A 20049-nucleotide genomic window follows, 5' to 3' on the forward strand; every position below is an offset into this window, starting at 1 on the left:
CGGGAGGCTGAGGCAGGAGAATGGCGTGAACCCGGGAGGCGGAGCTTGCAGTGAGCCGAGATCGGACCACTGTACTACAGCCTGGGCGAGACTGCGAGACTCTGTCTCAAAAAAAATTATTTTATTTTATTTTGTTTTTATTTTTGGGGGTAGAGATGGGGGTCTCCCTATGTTGCCAGACTGGTCTTGAACTCCTGGGCTGAAGCCTCGGCCTCCCAAAGTGCTGGGATTGCAGGAGTGAGCCACCATGTCTGGCCCAAAAATTCTTTAGTGAGTACCTACTATGCTTTGGTAAATGTTGCAATGTACAAGAATAAATAAAGACAAATTTTGGTTCTAAAGTTACTGCAATCAAGTAAGCAAAATGTTAAGTAAGTTTGGAGTATTTGGGCAGGCATGGATGAAGAGCCAGTTCTAGTCATCTAGCATCAGTTTGGCCACTACCAAGCTGATACCTTCCTTGGCCGCCAGGGGCCTGAGGCAGGTGTAGAGCTTAAATTTCCAGTCCATCCAGGCCAGCAATCTCCCTCTCAGCCCGGGGATAAATGAGGTTGCTGTGGAGGTATAGGACCAAGTGGTTGCTGCTCCTGTCTGCTATAGGAGGCCTCTAGCTTCAGGCTAGTTGCTGGTTGAGAAAAGTGCCATAAGAGAGAGATATACAGGAAATGATGGTAGTTGACATTTGTCAAGGAAAGCCAGAGTATGTATGTGCAAAGCTGAAAATGAGGAATTAACCTTGAGAAGGGCTGGGGAAAGAGCTTTCTTGGTTTAAAGAACAGCAAAAAGTCCTGATCCAAAAAAGCTGTCCAAAGCCTAGTTGGAAGGAAGTGTATTGAGTGTCCTGAGATGATATGGGAAGTGGGGGTAGGAGGCCAAATCTTGAAGATCTAGGTTGTGGTAAAAGTGGGTTACTCTACCTGTAATGGAAAGCCACGGAAGAGTTTAAAGCAGGGTTATTGCATAATCTGAACCATATTGAAAACAAATACTGACTGGGTGCGGTGGTTCACGCCTGTAATCCCAGCACTTTGGGAGGCCGAGGTGGGTGGATCACTTGAGGTCAAGAGTTCGAGACCAGCCTGGCCAGCAAGGTGAAATACAAAAAAATACAAAAAAATTTGCCCGGCGGCTGGGCACGGTGGCTCAGCACGGTGGCTCACGCCTGTAATCCCAACACTTTGGGAGGGCGGATCACTAGGTCAGGAGTTGGAGACCATTCTGACCAACATGGTGAAACCCCATCTCTACTAAAAATACAAAAATTAGCCGGGCGTGGTGGCGCACGCCTGTAGTCCCAGTTACTTGGGAGGCTGAGGCAGGAGAATTGCTTGAACCCAGGCGGCGGAGGTTGCAGTGAACTGAGATTGTGCCACTGCACTCCAGCCTGGGCGACAGAGTGAGACTCTGTCTCAAAAACAACAACAATAACAACACTACAGGCTATTATAAGAAAAATAAATTATATTTTGGATTTTGAAAAAGGTTCAAATGCAAATACTCTACAAAAGATGGAGTAGGTTGTGTCCCCTTCTGTGAGATATATATCTCTCTCACAAAAAAAAAAATATATATGTAAATTTTTTTTGAGATGGAGTTTCTCTCTTGTTGCCCAGTCTGGAGTGCAGTGGCGCGATCTTGGCTCACTGCAACCTCCGCCTCCTGGGTTCAAGCGATTCTCCTGCCTCAGCCTCCCAAGTAGCTGGGACTACAGGCATGCACCACCATGCCCGACTAATTTTATATTTTTAGTAGAGACGGGGTTTCGCCATGTTGGCCAGGCTGTTCTCAAACTCCTGACCTCAGGTGATCCACCTGCCTCGGACTCCCAAAGTGCTGGGATTACAGGTGTGAGCCACCGCGTCCGGCCATGAGTTATAAATATTAACAATTTCTTGCTGTAAATTGAAAGCATCCTTCGCGTCTTTGCGTTTCATTACCACCCTCTGTTCTCTCAAGAGAAATTCTAACTTTATTTCAGCACTCAGTCCTGAAGTTACAGAAGTTAATAATTTTTTAAAATCCTGCAAACAATGCATGGATATCCCCGTCTTGCACACTCTTTGGGCCAGTCTAGAATTCTTCCCATCAGCATTTCGGTGATCTGGACCGCCGCCACCCACACTGCGCTCCAGGGCAGAAAAGACGCCCCATGCCCGCGCCTGGGCCGGCGGGGGGCGGAGCTTGCGTGCTGACGCATAAGAGCCGAGCGGGGGAACGTGCGTGTCTCGAGTCGCACGGAGGGCAACCGTCGACGGGCTTAGCGCCTCAACTGTCGTTGGTGTATTTTTCTGGTGTCACTTCTGTGCCTTCCTTCAAAGGTGGTGCTTTGTCCCTGTGGGTCATCTGTACTGATTGCGCCAAGCAAAGCATTTGTGAGCGTGTGGTGCTGGGGTGAAAGTGGTGGCTGGGGGCAGGGAGAAATCCAAAAGCCCGCTGGTGCCCCAGCCCTCCCATTGCCTGGTAGACTGGGCCTTGCTTTACCCTCCCCGCATCCTTTGACCAGGAAATTCTTTCTTTGGCTTCCCCCCATCCCCGGCTCCAACATTCTGCAAACTGAAGAGGTAGTTTCTTAGATGTTCAGTGTGGTTAATCCAATGAAATTGCATTATCCCTATCAGGTTCTCCAAATGTCAACTGTCAAGGAGCAGCTAATTGAGAAGCTAATTGAGGATGATGAAAACTCCCAGTGTAAAATTACTATTGTTGGAACTGGTGCCGTAGGCATGGCTTGTGCTATTAGTATCTTACTGAAGGTGAGTGAGAAGCCCATCCTGTGGCTGAAAATCAAGTGAGCACTTCAGAGTGTTGTATATGTCGATGTATTCAGGGTTGCAAGGTTAATCCCTTGAAAGCAATTATGTATCCTTTGACCTTTCCTCCCTCCCTCCCTCCCTCCCTTCCTTCCTTCCTTCCTTCCTTTTTCTTTCTCTCTTTCTTTTCCTTTTTTTTTAAACTTCTTCTTTCTTTTCCTTTCTTTTTTTTTCTGACTTTCCTTTTCTTTTTCTTTTTTTGAGACAGGATTTGTCTGTTACCCAGGTTGGAGTGCAGTGGCGCGATCTTGGCCCACTGCAACCTCCACCTCCCGGGATCAAGCGATTCTCCTGCCTCAGCCTCTTGAATAACTGGGGCCACAGGCATGCACCACCAGGCCTGGCTAATTTTTTATATTTTTAGTAGAGATGGGGTTTCTCCATGTTGGCCAGGCTGGTTTCGAACTCCTGACCTCAAGTGATCCGCCTGCCTCGGCCTCCCAGAGTACTGGGATTACAGGCATGAGCCACCACACCTGGCTGCCAATAGGTATTGTTTTTAACCCTTGTGCCCTCCTCCCTCTCTGCTTTTGGAGTCCCCAGTGTTTATTGTTCTCTCTTTTTTTTTTTTTTTTTTTTTTGAGACGGAGTCTCGCTCTGTTGCCAGGCTGGAGTGCAGCGGCAGGATCTCGGCTCCCGGCAACCTTTGCCTCCCGGGTTCAAGCAGTTCTCCTGCCTCAGCCTCCTGAGTAGCTGGGACTACAGGCATGTGCCACCACGCCCAGCTAATTTTTATATTTTTAGTAGAGACGGGGTTTCATCATGTTGGCCAGGATGGCCTTGATTTCTTGACCTCGTGATCCGCCTGCCTCAGCCTCCCAAAGTGCTGGGATTACAGGCATGAGCCACCACGCCTGGCCTTAAGTAGGGACTTTTACTTCTTTCCCTTACTGTTCGCTTTTGGAATCTGGCTATTGAAATCTGAATGAATACACTCCTTGTATATAGTTCCGTACTCTGTCACATGTGACAAAAACCCAGTTTAAATTAGGGTAAGCAGAAAAAGACGAAATATTGTTCATGTAACTGGAAATAGGGCAAAACTGCTTCAGGTACTACCGGATTCTGAAGTTCACACATATCAAGACATAGTCTTTGTATATCTTGGTTTAGATTTTCTCTGTTGGCTTAATTCGTAGAGCCTTTCTATGTGGTGGTAAAGATGGCTGTACAGTTTGTTCTTAGATTCTTGTTTTTTCTCCAACTCTACAGTCCTTACTAATGTTCTTAGATTTGCATGTTATTCTTAGAGCTTATGATTCCAAAGAAAAGTGAGATGTAATCTTCCGTCTTCCATTTTCAAACTTCATAGACATGCTTGTTTCTTATACCTGGGCCATATGTCCACTTATGAACTGATTTCTGTGACCAGAAGGAAAGGATGGAACAATTGGCTAGGTCTGGTTTTATGCCCATCTACCCTAAGCTTGGAAAACCAATGTTAATTGTACTGCACTGAAACATATGGAATGGGTTCCCATGGAAAAGAGAAATTCTATTACCAGAAAAAGGGACACTAGACAGATGAAAACAATAAGTGTTCATCAGAGGTGGTTACCTTCCTGTTTGGGCCATAACGACGCATACTAAAAGCAGCTTTAGCCAACTCAGAAATTAGGGTTAAGGTTAAATATAATAAAATCCTGGCCGGGCGCAGTGGCTCAGGCCTGTAATCCCAGGACTTTGCGAGGCTGAGGTGGGTAGATCACTTGAGGTTAGGAGTTTGAGACCAGCCTGACCAATATGGTGAAACCCCGTCTGTACTAAAAATACAAAAATTAGCCGGACATGGTGGCGGGCGCCTGTAATCCCAGCTACTCGGGAGGCTGAAGCACGAAAATTGCTTGAACCTGGGAGACGGAGGTTGCAGTGCCCGAGATTGTGCCACTGCACTCCAGCCTGGGCGACAGAGTGAGACTTCATCTCAAACAAAACAAAACAAAAAACACAAAAATAAAGGCTAAATATAATAAAAGCCTTTGAAATCATTTTATTTTCCTTGGTTTCAAACTGTTATCTGAATGGCAAAAAAAAACAAAAACAAAAAACACCCAGCTCTAAAAAGTTCTAACAATTATATGAAGTCAAACAATTTTTGCTACATCTTAATATTTACTTACCTTGACTTTCGGTCACCCAGGCTCATTGAAAAACTATTTTTATATCATTTTTCCCTATTAAAATATGAGATTCCTTTAATTATCAAGTAGCCACATGAAAATTCTTCTTATTCTCCTAAAACTTAAGTAGGAACATTTTATTCAGAACTTTTGTATATTTTAGGATTTGGCTGATGAACTTGCCCTTGTTGATGTTGCATTGGACAAACTGAAGGGAGAAATGATGGATCTTCAGCATGGCAGTCTTTTCTTTAGTACTTCAAAGATTACTTCTGGAAAAGGTTAATTTTAGTTTTATAAAGTTATTTTCAAAGCTTTTTAAAAAAGTAATAAATTTTACCAAACAGATGTCAATAAATATAAAATTAAAAATAGCACCATGCCATTGGGCCATATAATTTAATTTAGTTGATCAATTTTTTTTGTTTTTTGAGAGAGTCTCACTCTGTCACCCAGATTAGAGTGCAGTGGCGCGATCTTGGCTCACTGCAACCTCCACCTCCCAGCTTCAAGTGATTCTCCTGCCTCGGTCTCCTGTGTAGCTGGGATTACAGGCATGCGCCACCACGCCTGGCTAATTTTTGTATTTTTAATAGAGACGTAGTTTTGCCATGTTGGCCAGGCTGGTCTCGAACTCCTGACCTCAGGTGATTGGGCCATATAGTTTATTTTTATTTATTTATTTATTTTGAGATGGAGTCTCGCTCTGTTGCCCAGGCTGGAGTGCAGTGGCACAATCTCAGCTCACTGCAACCTCCGCCACCTGGGTTCAAGCAATTTTCTTGCCTCAGTCTCCTGAATAGCTGGGATTACAGGCATGCGCTACCACACCCCGCTGATTTTTGTATTTTTAGTAGAGATGGGGTTTCACTATATGTTGGCCAGGCTGGTCTCGAACTCCTGACTTCAGGTGATCCACTTGCCTCGGCCTTCCAAAGTGCTGGAATTACAGGTGTGAGCTGCGGTGCCCAGCCGGGCCATATAATTTAAAAAGTTAATTTTTTTAAAAAGAACACTTCGATATAATTGGAGCATATTTGGAAAACAGAAAGTATAAAGAAAAATTGAATCTCTTCTATTAATGACTTTATGTAGGTTTTCTAAGCTTTTGTTTTCTTTACATAACTGATGTATAAATGCTTTTAAGCTTGTCATTTTGTCTTATATATTTTCCCAAGAATATACAATCTTGAAGAGTTTCTGTAATATTATTAATACATTTATCCATATTCTTTAGTTTTCTTTCTATGTTTATAGTGAACCAGGTTTCAAGGCATAGCATGAGGCCATAGAACATAAGAAATTTAGAACTTGGCCTCATTGGTGTTAGCATCATCTGTTGACCAACTAAGAAGCCTCAGATAATTAGGAAACATAATTATTTTATCATACACTAAAGTATATGGTGCACTGTTTGGTAATGTGATTCAACAGATATACTTTCTACTAGAAGCCCTCTTATCTAACATGATTGAGATTGAAGGCAGTTACCTAATTTAAACATGCTTCTTAGAAAGAGCCATGATAAACATTTTATATCGACCTAAAACATACACATGTAGATAAAAGTTCATTTGCTGATTTTCTGGTTGTAGGGCAAGGCCTTTGAGTACGGCTCAGCTGATTAGAGTTTTGCAGTGCCTTCCCATCCCTTCCCCCTTCCCTTCCATCTTCCCCTTCCCTTCCTTTTCCCTTTCCCCTTCCTTCCCCCTTTCCCTTCTCCGTTCATTTCATTCCTCCTTTCCTCCTCTTCCCCTTTCCCCCTCTGATCCTCTCCCCTCTACTCACCTCCCCTACCCTCCCCAGCCCTCCATCCTTTCCTTTCCTCTCCTCTCCATGTTGCCCAGATTGGAGTGGCTATTTATTTACTTATTTATTTTTGAGACAGAGTCTTGATCTGTTGCCCAGGCTGGAGTGTGGTGGTACAATCTCAGCTCACCACAACCTCCACCTCCGAGGTTCAAACGATTCTCCTGCCTCAGCCTCCCAAGTAGCTGGGACTATAGGTGTGTGCCACCATGCCTGGCTAATTTTTGTGTTTTTAGCAGACACAGGGTTTCACCACGTTAGCCAGGCTGGTCTTGAACTCCTGACCTCAGGTGACCCGCCTGCCTTGGCCTCCCAAAGTGCTGGGATTACAGGCGTGAGCCACCGCACCCGGCCTGGAGTGGCAATTTATAGGCATGGTCTTAGCACACTACAGTCTTGAACTCCTGGGCTGAAGGGGTCCTCCTGCCTCAGCCTGGCAAGTACCTGGAACAACAGGTGGTGTCTTTCTGAAAGCACATCAATAATGATCATTTAGATTGCTTTAAAGTACTACAAGAAATTTAAAAGTGTTCATGAAGCAGTCTGGTTATAAAACCTTACTAAATTTTATGACTTTATTTATTTTATTTTTGGAGACAGTTTCACCAGGCTGGAGTGCAGTGGCATAATCATGGTTCACTGCAGCCTCGAATTCCCAGGCTCAGGTGATCCTCCCACCTCACCCTTCTGTGTAGCTGGGACTATAGGTGCACAGCACCACACCCAGCTAATTTTTAAGAAATTATTATTTGTAGAGATGCGGTGTCACTCTGTTGCTCAGGCTGGTCTCAAACTCCTAGGCTCAAGCAGTTGCAGGTGTGAGCCACCACGCCCAACCCATTTTTATCCCTTTCTCAAACCTAGAAGGACAATTTTTAAACAATTTGCTTTTAATGTCTTCCCAGGGATTAACTTACTTTTCATAGAAACAATTATTTTTAATATTAATTATGGAATACTTGATAGAGAAAAAGAGATTAACAATAATGTAACATTGGGAGGCTGATGTAGGAGGGTCGCATGAGGCCAGGAGTTTGAAATCAGCCAGAGGCAACATAGTGAGACCCTGTCTCCATTGTGCCTGTAGCCCTAGCTTTGCGAGGCTGATGCAGGAGGATTGCTTGAGTTCAAGGTTGCAGTGAGCTATGATTGTATCACTGCACTCCAGCCTGGGCACAAAGGAAGATCCTATTGCTAAAATATATATAATAATATAACAAACATCAGTGCATCTACCACTCAGCAAAAGAAATAAAACATTACCAAGTCAGTTGATACATTCTGTATATTCATATCTTCCTGTCCCTAAATCTCAATGTTGAATGTGGTGTTTACCTTTACCAAACATTTCTTTCACACTGGTATTTAGTGACTTATATTATCTTTAATTATATATATAATAATAAATACATAATTATATTTGGGTACAAATATGACTAATTCTTGATATGTAGCAACTAATGAGCAGAAGTACATAGACATACTAGATAGTAGTTTACTAGTTGAGAGTGTTTAGTATGTCTGGGGTATCAGTATGTTTTGTATCAGTTAATTTGGTGGATTGGTTAAATGGAGTCAAATTAAAAGAGTATTACTATTTTATTTTATTTTATTTTTTGAGATGGAGTCTTGCTCTGTCACCCAGGCTGGAGTGCAGTGGTGTGATCTCTGCTCACTGCAACCTCCACCTCCCAGGTTCAAGAGATTCTCCTGCCTCAGCCTCCCAAGCAGCTGGGATTACAGGTGCATACCACCATGCCCAGCTAATTGTATTTTTAGTAGAGACGGGGTTTCACCATGTTGGCCAGGCTGGTCTCGAATGCCTGACCTCAAGCGATCCACCTGCCTCGGCCTCCCAAAGTGCTGGGATTATAGGTGTGAGCCACCGCACCTGGCCATATTTTAAAATACTTGAAAACATATTCAACTTTCAATTTCTAATAATATGGCAGGATAAATACCTGGATTAATCTTTTGCTGTAAATGAGAAAACTCCTGCATAAAATATGAAATAAAAAAATCAATCCTTGAGAAAGAATATGTTCTTAACAAAAAAGTAAGGCATTTTCACAACAGGTACTGAATGAAGTGAGAAAACCAGAGAGTTAAGCAGAGCACTGCAGCTCTGATTGCTCTTTTTACCCTGATAGCATTTGCCAAACATGGTGGACATCAATTTTGGTTTTCACTGACTCATAAAATTTAGGAGACCAGAGACAGAGCTTGGGGATTTGGGGAGATCACCCCACAAACCTGGTGCCCTAGTGGACTAAGCCAGGGGTTACTAAACTTTTTCTGGGAAGACTCAGATAGTAGATATTTTAGGCTTTTCCAGCTATGTAGTTCCTATTATACCTACTCAACTCTGCTCTTACAGTGCAAAAGGAAGCCACAGACAATAATACATAAGCAAGTGGGTGTGGCTCCAGTGAGACTCTATTTACCAAACACAGGTGGTAGACCAGATATCGCTTGTCTGCCAACAGTAGTTTACCATTGCCAGAACTATACCGTTAATGTAATGATGATCTACAAATAATTATTCTCTCCCTGCCTTTGGGGACTACAAGTAAAATTGAATGTCTTAGACACTTTAGTGGGGGAATATACCTGCTAAGGATTTGGAACCACAAGCTGGCTCTTATTTGAATTCCAGAAAACCTTAAGCAATCAGATGGTAGCTAGAGGAAACTCACTTTATTTCAGGCCTCAAAGAACTTCCACAAATAAACTTCCAGAGAAAATGAACATCTCACAATAGAAATAATTAAATCTGCAAGAAAAGGCATGAGCAAGAACCAGCATAACAGAAACATGCCACTATAGATTTAAAAATTATCAAACACAAATTATAAAATTAATATGATTATTCTACATAAAAAATAAAGAACAGACTTGAAAATATCAGCATGAGACAGGAGGCTATAAAAACATTAAAAAAGGAACAAAATATAACTTATAAATGTGAAAAACTCAATGGAGCCAGGCATAGTGGCTCAGTCCTATAATCCCAGCACTTTGGGAAGGTGAGGCAGGTGGATTGGTTGAGGTCAGGAGTTGGAGATCAGCTTGGCCAACATGGTGAAAACCTGTCTCTACTAAAAATACAAAAATTAGCTGGGTGTGGTGGTGCATGCCTGTAGTCTCAGCTACTCAGGAGGCTGAGGCAAGAGAATCACTTGAACCAGGAGGCAGAGGTTGCAGTGAACTGAGATGGCACCACTCCACACTCCAGCCTGGGCGACAAAGTGAGACTCCGTCTTAGAACAACAACAACAACAACAACAACCTCTATGGATACAATGATAGATTAGACACATTTGAAGAGAGAAGTGGCAAATCTAAGGCAATTACCCAGAAGACAAGAAGTAGAAAATATAACAGGTTAAGAGTCATGGAGGATAGAATAATCACATTTGAAGAGATTATGATTCAGCATTTTTGAAGACCACTGAAAAATATCAACCCACAGATTTAAGAAGCCAAATAATCTCAAGAAGAATAAATATAATATCCCTACCTGGACATATTCTTGTGAAATTAGAGAACACTAAAGGCAAAAAGAAGTTCTTAAAAATTGTCAGAGAGAACATAAATTACCTACAGAAAAGGGAGAGGGTGACAATAGCAGCAGTGAAACCAGAAGACAATGGAATATTTTTAATGTGCTGAGGGAGGAGTAAGTGTCAATCTGGAATCTACCCAGCAAAAACATCTTTCAAGAACAAGGACAAAGCTGGGCCTGGTAGCAGGCTGAGGCAGAAGGATCACTTTGAGACCAGCCTGGGCAGCATAGTGAAATCTTGTCTCTTAAAAAAAAAAAAAAAAAAAAAAAAGGAGAGTGAATGAAGGTGTTTTCAGAAACAGACTGAGACAATTACTGTCAGGCCCTCCCTAAAGGAAACACAAAAGTATATATATCAGGCAAAAGAAAAGTGATCTCACATACAAGATCTGTGATGCAAGACAAAAAATGAAGGACAGAGAAAATGGTAAATATGAAGGCAAATCTAAATAAATATCAATTGTATAAAACTGTAGTCTTGGGGGATTAAAAAATTTTTGAATATAGCATATAAATATACGGGCGAGGGGTGATAGTGATGAATGAAGTAGTGTTCTAAGTTTCCTGTGTCATTAGGGAAGCAGGAAGTGTGGTGATTAACTTTGAACTTTGATAAGTTAAAAATGCACGTTGTAATTTCTTTTTCTTTTTCAAATTTTTATATTTTATTTTTATTTTGAGACAAAGTCTCACACTGTCACCCAGGCTGGGTGCAGTGGTGTGATCTCAGCTCTCTGCACCCTCCACCTCCCAGGTTCAAGTGATTCTCCTGCCTCAGCCTCTCGAGTAGCTGAAATTACAGGCACACACCACTGAGCCTGGCTAATTTTTTGTATTTTTAGAAGACATGGGGTTTCACCATGTTGGCCAGGCTGGTCTCTAACTCCTGACCTCAGGTGGTCTGCCCGCTTCGGCTTCCCAAAGTGCTGGGATTACAGGAGTGAGCCACCATGGCTGGCCTCAAATTTTTAAATAATTTTTAAAGAGGTGAGGTGTAGGTCGGATGTGGTGGCTCACGCCAGTAATCCTAGAACTTTGGGAGGCTAGACAGGCAGATCACTTGAGGTCAGGAGTTTGAGACCAGCGTGGCCAACCTGGTGAAACCCCATCTCTACTAAAAATACAAAAATTAGTTGGGCGTGCTGATGCATGCCTATAATCCCAGCTACTCAGGAACCTGAGGCAGGAGAATCGCTTTAACCTGGGAGACGGAGGTGGCAGTGAGCAGAGATCATGCCATTACACTCCAGCCTGGGTGACAAGAGCAAAACTCCATCTCAAAACAAACAAAAAACACAGAGATGGGATCTCGCTATGTTGCCCAGGCTGGTCTCAAACTCCTGGGCCCAAATGATCCTCCTGCCTCACTCAGCTGGGATTACAGATGACATGATCTAACTTCTGTGACAGCTAACAAAAGAACAGAAACCTTTAAATTCTTAAAGGTGTCTGGGCATGGTGGCTCATGCCTGTAGTCTCAGCACTTTGGGAGGCCAACGCGGGCGAATCATTTGAGGTCAGGAGTTCAAGACTAGCCTGGCCAACATGGTGAAACCCTGTCTCTACTAAAACTACAAAAATTAGCTGCATGTGGTGGTGCACACCTGTAGTCCCAGCTACTCAGGAGGCTGAGGCAGGAGAATCACTTCAACCCGGCAGGTGGAGGTTGCAGTGAGCCAAGATCACTGCCACTATACTCCAGCCTAAGCGATGGAGCAAGACTGATACAAAAAAACAAAAAAATTAGTAAAGAGAAAGAAGTAATATTAGATAAACATACCTAATGAATTAAAAAGAAGATAGAAATATAAGAATAGGACAGCATATAAAACTAAAAGTTTAGCAAGGATGACAGACAAAGTTAGTAATCAGAAATCAAGGCCGGGCACGATGGCCCATGCCTGTAATCCCAGCACTCTGGGAGGCTGAGGTGGTGGATCACTTAAGGCCAGGAGTTTGAGATCAGCCTGGGCAACATGGTGAGACCCCTGTCTCTACTAAAAATACAAAAATTAGCCAGGCGTAATGGTGCACACCTGTAATCCAGCTACTTGGTACGCTGAGGTAGGAGAATCACTTGAACCCGGAGGTGGAAGTTGCAGTGAGCCGAGATTGTGGCAGTGCACTCCAGCCTGGGCAACAGAGCAAGACTCCATCTCAAAAAAAAAAAAAAATCCATTGTATTTCTGCATGCCAAAACCAGGCAAAAGAAATCTAAAGCTATTATTTACAATATCATAAAAATAGGAAATACCTGGCATAAGAGCTTTTGTGCAGAAAACATACCACCTCATTAGAAGATGTTAAATGTCAGGCTGGGTGTGGTGCCTGTAATCCTAGCACTTTGGGAAGCCGAGGCGGGAGTATCGCTTGAGTGGAGGAGTTTAAGACCAGCCTGGGAAACACGGTGAAACCATGTCTTTACCAAAAATACAAAAATTAGCTGGGCGTGTTGATGGGTGCCTGAGTCCCAGCTACTCAAGAGGCTGAGGTGGAAGGATGGCTTGAGCCTGGGAGGTAGAAGTCACAGTGAGCTGAGGTTGCGCCATTGCACTCCAGCCTGGGTGACATGTCTCAAAAAAACCAAAACCAAAAAAAAGAAAACAACAAAAAACTCAAAGAATATATTATCTAAATAAATGAGGGGAGGCTGGGCGCAGTAGCTCATGCCTGTAATCCCAGCACTTTGCGAGGCCGAGTCAAGTGGATCCCTTGAGGTCAGGAGTTCGAGACCAGCCTGGCCAACATGGTGAAACCCTGTCTCTGCTAAAAATACAAAAAATTAGCCAGGCGTGATGGCACACACCTGTAGTCCCAGCTACTCAAGAGTAAAATAAATAAATGAAGTGATATTCCTTGTTCATAGAAGTCTCAATATTGTAAGCTATCCATTCTTCCCATATTGATTATATGCAATCCTAGTCAAAACCCCGCAGGTTTTGTTATTATTGGACATTCCAAGCTAATTCAAGACTTATTATAAAGCACTAATTATGTGCAGAGACTTAATTAGGAGACAATATAAAAGATTGTTATATAACACTGATGATTTTCTAGATAAATAGGAAATTTATGGACCTTTAGAATTGTTCTTATGGCAGTAGTTATCATTATGGAAAAAATAAATTGATACCACACACACACCCTACCTGATACCACACACAAAAATCAAAGCCAGGTTGGTTGAAGACTAAAATGTGAAAAGCAAAACTTCAAAATTTCCTTTAGAAGATAACGTAGAATATCCTTATGACCTGAAGGTAGGGACTGATTTAAACACAAAGACACAAAAAGCATAATCAATAAAGAATACAAAGTTAAGAGTGTTCACAAAAATATAATATAAAAGAGCAAAGAGACAAGCCATAAACTGAGAGAAGATATTTGCAGTGTTAACATCTAACAAAGGAATAGTGTTCAGAATAAAAATACTTGTATTAATATAATACCTAAAAAAAATGCACAGCTCAATAGAAAAATGAGAAAAGCCTTCAATAATTTACAAAAGAAGACACTCAAGTGGCTTATAAATAGGGGGAGAAAACTCAATAACCAAGCACAGGAAAATAAAAACCATATCAATATACCATTACACACCCACTAGATTGGTAGAAGTGTGATAGTAAGTGTTTGTGAGGATGTGGAACAATAAGTGCTCTCACACACAGCATATAGGAGTGTAGTAAAACCAGTTAAAAAAACAAGTTTGGCCGGGTGCGGTGGCTCACGCCTGTAATCCAGCACTTTGGGAGGCTGAGGTGGGCGGATCACGAGGTCAGGAGTTTGAGACCAGCCTGACCAACATGGTGAAACCCTGTCTCTACTAAAAATACAAAAATTAGCCGGGCATGGTGGTGCGCGCCTGTAATCCCAGCTACTCAGGAGTCTGAGGCAGGGGAATCGCTTGAACCCAGGAGGTGGAGGTTGCAGTGAGCCTAGATCGCGCCACTGCACTCCAGCCTGGGCCATGGAATGAAACTCTGTCTCAAAAAAAAACAAAAAAACCCCACGAGTTTGTCATTACCTGGTGAAGTTGAACATGAACATATCCCACAACCTGGAAATTACACTTCTAAATATAGTCCCAAGAAAACTTTTGCACATGCGCACTAGGATACATGTACAAGAACGTATTGTAGTAGCCCCAAACTGTAAACAAGTCAATGAATCCCAGTACTAAATTGTAAAATTATGCAGTGTAATATTGCACAGCAGTGAAAATGAAGAAACTACAGGAACACACATTAACATGGATAAATATCAGATACATAATATTTAGTTAAGGGAATACATGCCTTATGATTCAAAAACAGATAAAATGTACTATGTAATGCTGGGCATGGTGGCTGACGCCTGTAATCCTAGCACTTTGGGAGGCCGAGGTGGGCGGATCACTTGAGGTCAGGAGTTCCAGACCAGCCTGGCCACCATGGCGAAACCCTGTCTCTACTAAAAATACAAAAATTAGCTGGGTGTGGTGGCACGTGCCTGTAATTCCAGCTACTCGGGAGGCTGAGGCAGGAGAATCGCTTGAACCTGGGAGGCGGAAGTTGCAGTCAGCTGAGATCGTGCCACTGTACTCCAGCCTGGGTGATAGAGCCATCTCAAAACAAAACAAAACAAATAAAAAAACAATTAATATGTAATTTAAACATGCATAGGTAGTAAAGCTTTTTTAAAAGTAATGTGATTTTTTGCCAGCCACAAGAGTGGTTGATAGACATAATCTGTTAGAGGCATGCAGGGGCTTCCAAGGTGTTGACAATGTTCTATAAATTTGGGGATTTTTTTTTTTGTTTTGAAAAAGGGTCTTGCTTTGTTGCCCAGGCTAGAGTTCAGGGGTGTGATCATAGCTCACCACAACCTCAAACTCTTGAATTCCTGGGTTCAAGCAGTCCTCCCACCTCAGCCTCCAGAGGACAAATGTGAACTAGATGTTTATTGTGCAGTTTTGGCAGAGTTAATATTTTTAATTTTTTTCATTAAAAAATTATTATATTTTAGAGACTAGGTCTTGCCCTGTTAACCCAGGCTGGAGTGCAGTGGCACGATCTCAGCTCACTGCAATCTCTGCCTCCCAGGTTCAAGTGATTGTCGTGCCTCAGCCTCCCCAGTAGCTGGGATTACAGGTGTGAGCCACTGTGCTTGGCCTTTTGTGTGGTTTTAACAGAGTTGTTTAATGTTTTATAAATTGAGTGTATATTTCTTATATGTTATTGTATATGAAATATTTCACAATAGAACATTTTAAAAATACATTTTGTGCCAGGCGTGGTGGCTCACGCCTGTAATCCCAGTACTTTGGGAGGCTGAGGTGGGTGGATCACAAGGTCAGGAGATCAAGACCATCCTGGCTAACGCGGTGAAACCCCTTCTCTACTAAAAATAAAAAAAAATTAGCCAGGCGTGTTGGCAGGCGCCTGTAGTCCCAGCTACTCAGGAGGGCTGAGGCAGGAGAATGGCATGAACCCAGGAGGCGGAGCTTGCAGTGAGCCGAGATCGCGCCACTGCACTCCAGCCTGGGCAACAGAGCGAGACTCTGTCTCAGAAAAAAAAAGAAAAAAGAAAAAAGAAAATACATATTGTGAGGTCTAATGGGGAAGAGCAATGATGGAACATCGTTGATTAGCCACAATTTTTTTTTTTTTTTACTTTTTAGTTTAGAGATGGCTGTTCATGGGCACAATCACAGTGCACTGCAGCCTCTAACTCCTGGGTTCAAGTGACCCTCTTGATTCAGCTTCCTAAGTAGCTGGGACTACTATGCCCAGCTCCACAGATATTTTAAATTATCTCATATGTACAGTGAGTCCAGGTGCATGGAACATAGAGGCTGCTAAGATATTTATGGACCAGGTGTGGTGGCTCACGCCTGTAATCCCAGCACTTTGGGAGCCCGAGGCAGGTGGATCACCTGAGGTCAGGAGTTCAAGACCAACCTGGCCAACATGGCAAAAGCCCGTTTCTACTAAAGATACAAAAATTAGCTGGGCATGGTGGCGGGTCCCTGTAATCCCAGATACTTGGGAGGCTGAAGCAGGAGAATCACTTGAACCAGGGAGGCATAGGTTGCAGTGAGCCAAGATCACGCCACTCCACTCCAGCCTGGGCAACAGAGCAAGACTCCGTCTCAAAAAAAAAAAAAAAAAAGATATTTGTGGAAAGAAGGGAGTAATGTGAAATCAGTGAAATCAGAACCTATTATTAATATTATGGTGCTTATGATTAAGTTAGGGGTTTAAATAAGACATAACCATGAGAAGATAACATATGCTCTTATAAGGACTTTTTCATAATTATAGGCAGTAAGTGCTATAAAAAAATTCTGTGAAGAAAGTGGTATTTATGAATGATATGATAAATAATGAATGATATGATGGCTTTATGTCTTATTTTTATGTCAGATTTTCCAGGTGCCCTGATCCTGTTAATGCCATCATTTCCTTACCTGTTGTTTATTTTTCTTTCAAAATACAACCACATATCATTTATGAATGATATGATAAATACTTGGGGATATCTAGCAGAGGAATTGGTATTCGAAGAAGTACTTGACTAATATAATAATAATGTTAATTGCTAACATTTATTGAACATTTAATACACCCTGTTGAGTACTTAATGTATATTAACTCACTGAGTTATCTTCTTAAGAACCATATTTTTTAAAAGGCTATTAGCGGCTGGGCGTGGTAGCTGATGCCTATAATCCCAGCACTGTGGGAGGCTGAGGCGGGTAGATCATGAGGTCAGGAGTACAAGACCAGCCTGGTCAAGATGGTGAAACCCCGTCTCTACTAAAAATACAAAAATTAGCCGGGCATGGTGGTGGGCTCCTGTAATCCCAGCTACTTGGGAGGCTGAGGCGAGGTATTGCTTGAACCTGGGAGGCGGAGGTTGCAGTGAGCTGAGATTGCACCACTGCACTCCAGCTTGGGCGACAGAGCAAGATTGTGCCTCAAAAAAACAAACAAACAAAAACAAAATAACAACAAAAAAACGCTATTAGCTTGATCTTGTAGATGAGGAAGTGAGAGTTAGAGGGGTAGGCAAAGTAATTGTCCATGGTTACACAGCTAGTAAGTGGCAAAGTTGGGAATACTGGCAGTTAGACCTCAGAGCTTTTGCTCCAGACCACTGTAGTTTATGGTCTCTTTGTGGTTATATTTACAAAGAAAAATAAATAACAGGTAAGGAAATGATGGCATTAACAGGATCAGGGCACCTGGAAAATCTGACATAAAAATAAGACATAAAGCTAGTAAAGATGATTTGGAGCCAGATTTTTTTTTTTTTTTTTTGAGATGGAGTCTCGCTCTGTCACTCAGGCCGGAATGCAGTGGCACAGTCTCGGCTCACTGCAACCTCCACCTCCTAGGTTCAAGTGATTTTCCTGCTTTACCCTCCTGAGTAACTGGGATTACAGCACGTGCCATCATGCCCAGCTAATTTTTGTATTTTTAGTAGAGATGGGGTTTCACCATGTTGGCTAGGCTGGTCTTGAACTCCTGACCTCAAGTGTTCCACCCATCTCTACCTCCTAAAGTGCTGGGATTACAGGTGTGAGCCACTGTGCCTGGCCAGAAATGTCATCTAATTCCTAAGTTTGCCTTTCTAGTTAAAATCTTTATTGGGGCAGGAAAAACAACAGTGTTCATATTTCATAAGTTATCTTCTCTTTTGGATTAGAAAGATACAAGAATCACCATAAATGAAGATGTGATATTTTAAAAATTAGGTAGATTTCATTTTCTTTTCTTTCTTTCTCTCTCTTTTTTTTTTTTTTTTTTTTTTTGAGACAGAGTCTCACTCTGTCACACAGGCTGGAGTGCAGTGGCATGATCTGGGCTCACTGCAACCTCCGCCTCCTGGGTTCAAGCCATTCTCCTGCCTCAGCCTCCTGAGTAGCTGGGATTAAGATGCACGCCACCATGGCTGGCTAATTTTTGTATTTTTAGTAGAGACATGTTGGTCAGGCTGGTCTTGAACTCCTGACCTCAAGTGATCCGCCAGCCTCAGCTTCCAAAGTGTTAGAATTACAGGTGTGAGCCACCACGCCCAGCTATTAGATTTCATTTTCTAAAAGAACATGAAAAGTCGAGATGAGATAGATATAGAGGATATTTTAACTAATTTTTTACATCCACATGGTAGATAATCTTCAGCTATATAGTGCTTTTTAAAAAAGTCCAGTATGAAGCCACATGTGGTAGCTCACGCCTGTAATCCCAACACTTTAGGAGGCCAAGGTAGGTGGATCAGTTGAGGTCAGGAGTTCAAAACCAGCCTGGCCAACATGGTGAAACCCCGTCTCTACCAAAAAATAAAAATTTAGCTGTGTGTGATGGTGCATGCCTGTAGTCCCAGCTACTCAGGAGGCTGATGTGGGAGAATCTCTTGAACCTGAGTGGCAGACGTTGCAGTGAGCTGAGATGGCACCACCATACTCCAGCCTGGGCAACAGAGTGAGACACTATCTCAGAAAAAAAAAAAAAAAAGAAGACCAGTATGAGTTAGTAAGTGCTTCATAGTAGTGACATTGTATTCAACAGGTGAAACAACTGGTCATTTAGTACGTAGTTTATTTTCTTGGGTGGGTCAAGAACTTGTTTGTGATTTCAAACCCAGTCCCTTACAATATTAGAAGTAAATACATTCTCACTCTTAGACTCCTGAAACAGACACATAAATTCTCAGAGTTCTAAGTCTATTCATTTTGGTCTTTTTTTTTTTTTTTTTTTTTTTGAGACAGAGTCTTGCCAGGCTGGAGTGCAGTGGCGCGATCTTTGCTCACTTCAACCTCCGCCTCCCAGGTTCAAGCGATTCTCCTGCCTCAGCCTCCCAAGTAGCTGGGACTACAGGCATGTGCTGCCACTCCCAGCTAATTTTTGTATTTTTAGTAGAGACAGGATTTTACCATGTTGGCCAAGATGGTCTTGATCTCTTGACCTCGTGATCCGCCTGCCTTGGCCTCCCAAAGTTCTGGGATTACAGGCGTGAGCCACTGCGCCTGGCCTCATTTTGGTGTTTCTAAGAAGGCAGAGAGCTGACTTTCATTGCCTTGGGCCTTCATAACACAGGGGAATTTGGGCAAAAGGGGATGTTAGTTTCTATTGTTATAAAAATTTTTGAGGTAGCTATGTGAAATTTGGCAAGTCATAGTGACAAGGCTTCCTTCAGATTATAAAGGTTAGAAAAGTCCGTTCATCTCCAAAATGCCAGACATAAAGGTACATGGATACTTTAATATAATACTAAGAACATACAATAGAGTTTTAAGGAGTTAAGGCACAGTGGTTATGGTAATGTTGATCCAAATATAGTATTTTGTTTCCTTTTTAGATTACAGTGTATCTGCAAACTCCAGAATAGTTATTGTCACAGCAGGTGCAAGGCAGCAGGAGGGAGAAACTCGCCTTGCCCTGGTCCAACGTAATGTGGCTATAATGAAATCAATCATTCCTGCCATAGTCCATTATAGTCCTGATTGTAAAATTCTTGTTGTTTCAAATCCAGGTGAGTCTTCTCTCTTCCATTCTATTGCATAAGGATGATCTTTCCATACCATTCCTTTAAAAGAATCAACTTCATTGAGTTAACATTTATATACAATAAATTGCACTCGTTTAAAGTATATAACGCGATGAGTTTTGATAAATGTAATCACTCATGAAACTACCGCCATGATCAAGATACAAAACATTTCAGCTACCTCTGAAAGTTTTCTTGTGCCTCCTTGCAGTTC

The 20049-nt window shown here is 42.3% G+C and overlaps 1 protein-coding gene across 3 annotated transcripts in view; it reads left to right on the top strand.

Moving 5' to 3' along the window:
• Positions 2228-20049, top strand: part of LDHC (lactate dehydrogenase C) — a 39746-nt gene continuing 21924 nt past the window's right edge. Inside the window, exons 1-4 of one of the 3 annotated variants that reach the window (NM_002301.5) lie at positions 2228-2372; positions 2619-2753; positions 5094-5211; positions 19647-19820. In NM_002301.5, coding sequence (NP_002292.1) covers positions 2628-2753; positions 5094-5211; positions 19647-19820 — 418 coding nt within the window. In that variant the 5' untranslated portion in view covers positions 2228-2372; positions 2619-2627. Of the gene's footprint in view, positions 2373-2618; positions 2754-5093; positions 5212-19646; positions 19821-20049 lie in introns of those variants that run through there. The other 2 variants (NM_017448.5, XM_047426934.1) reach the window with 2 other exon arrangements.

The sequence above is a fragment of the Homo sapiens genome, chromosome 11, assembly GCF_000001405.40.
Source record: "Homo sapiens chromosome 11, GRCh38.p14 Primary Assembly".
NCBI lineage: Eukaryota > Metazoa > Chordata > Mammalia > Primates > Hominidae > Homo > Homo sapiens.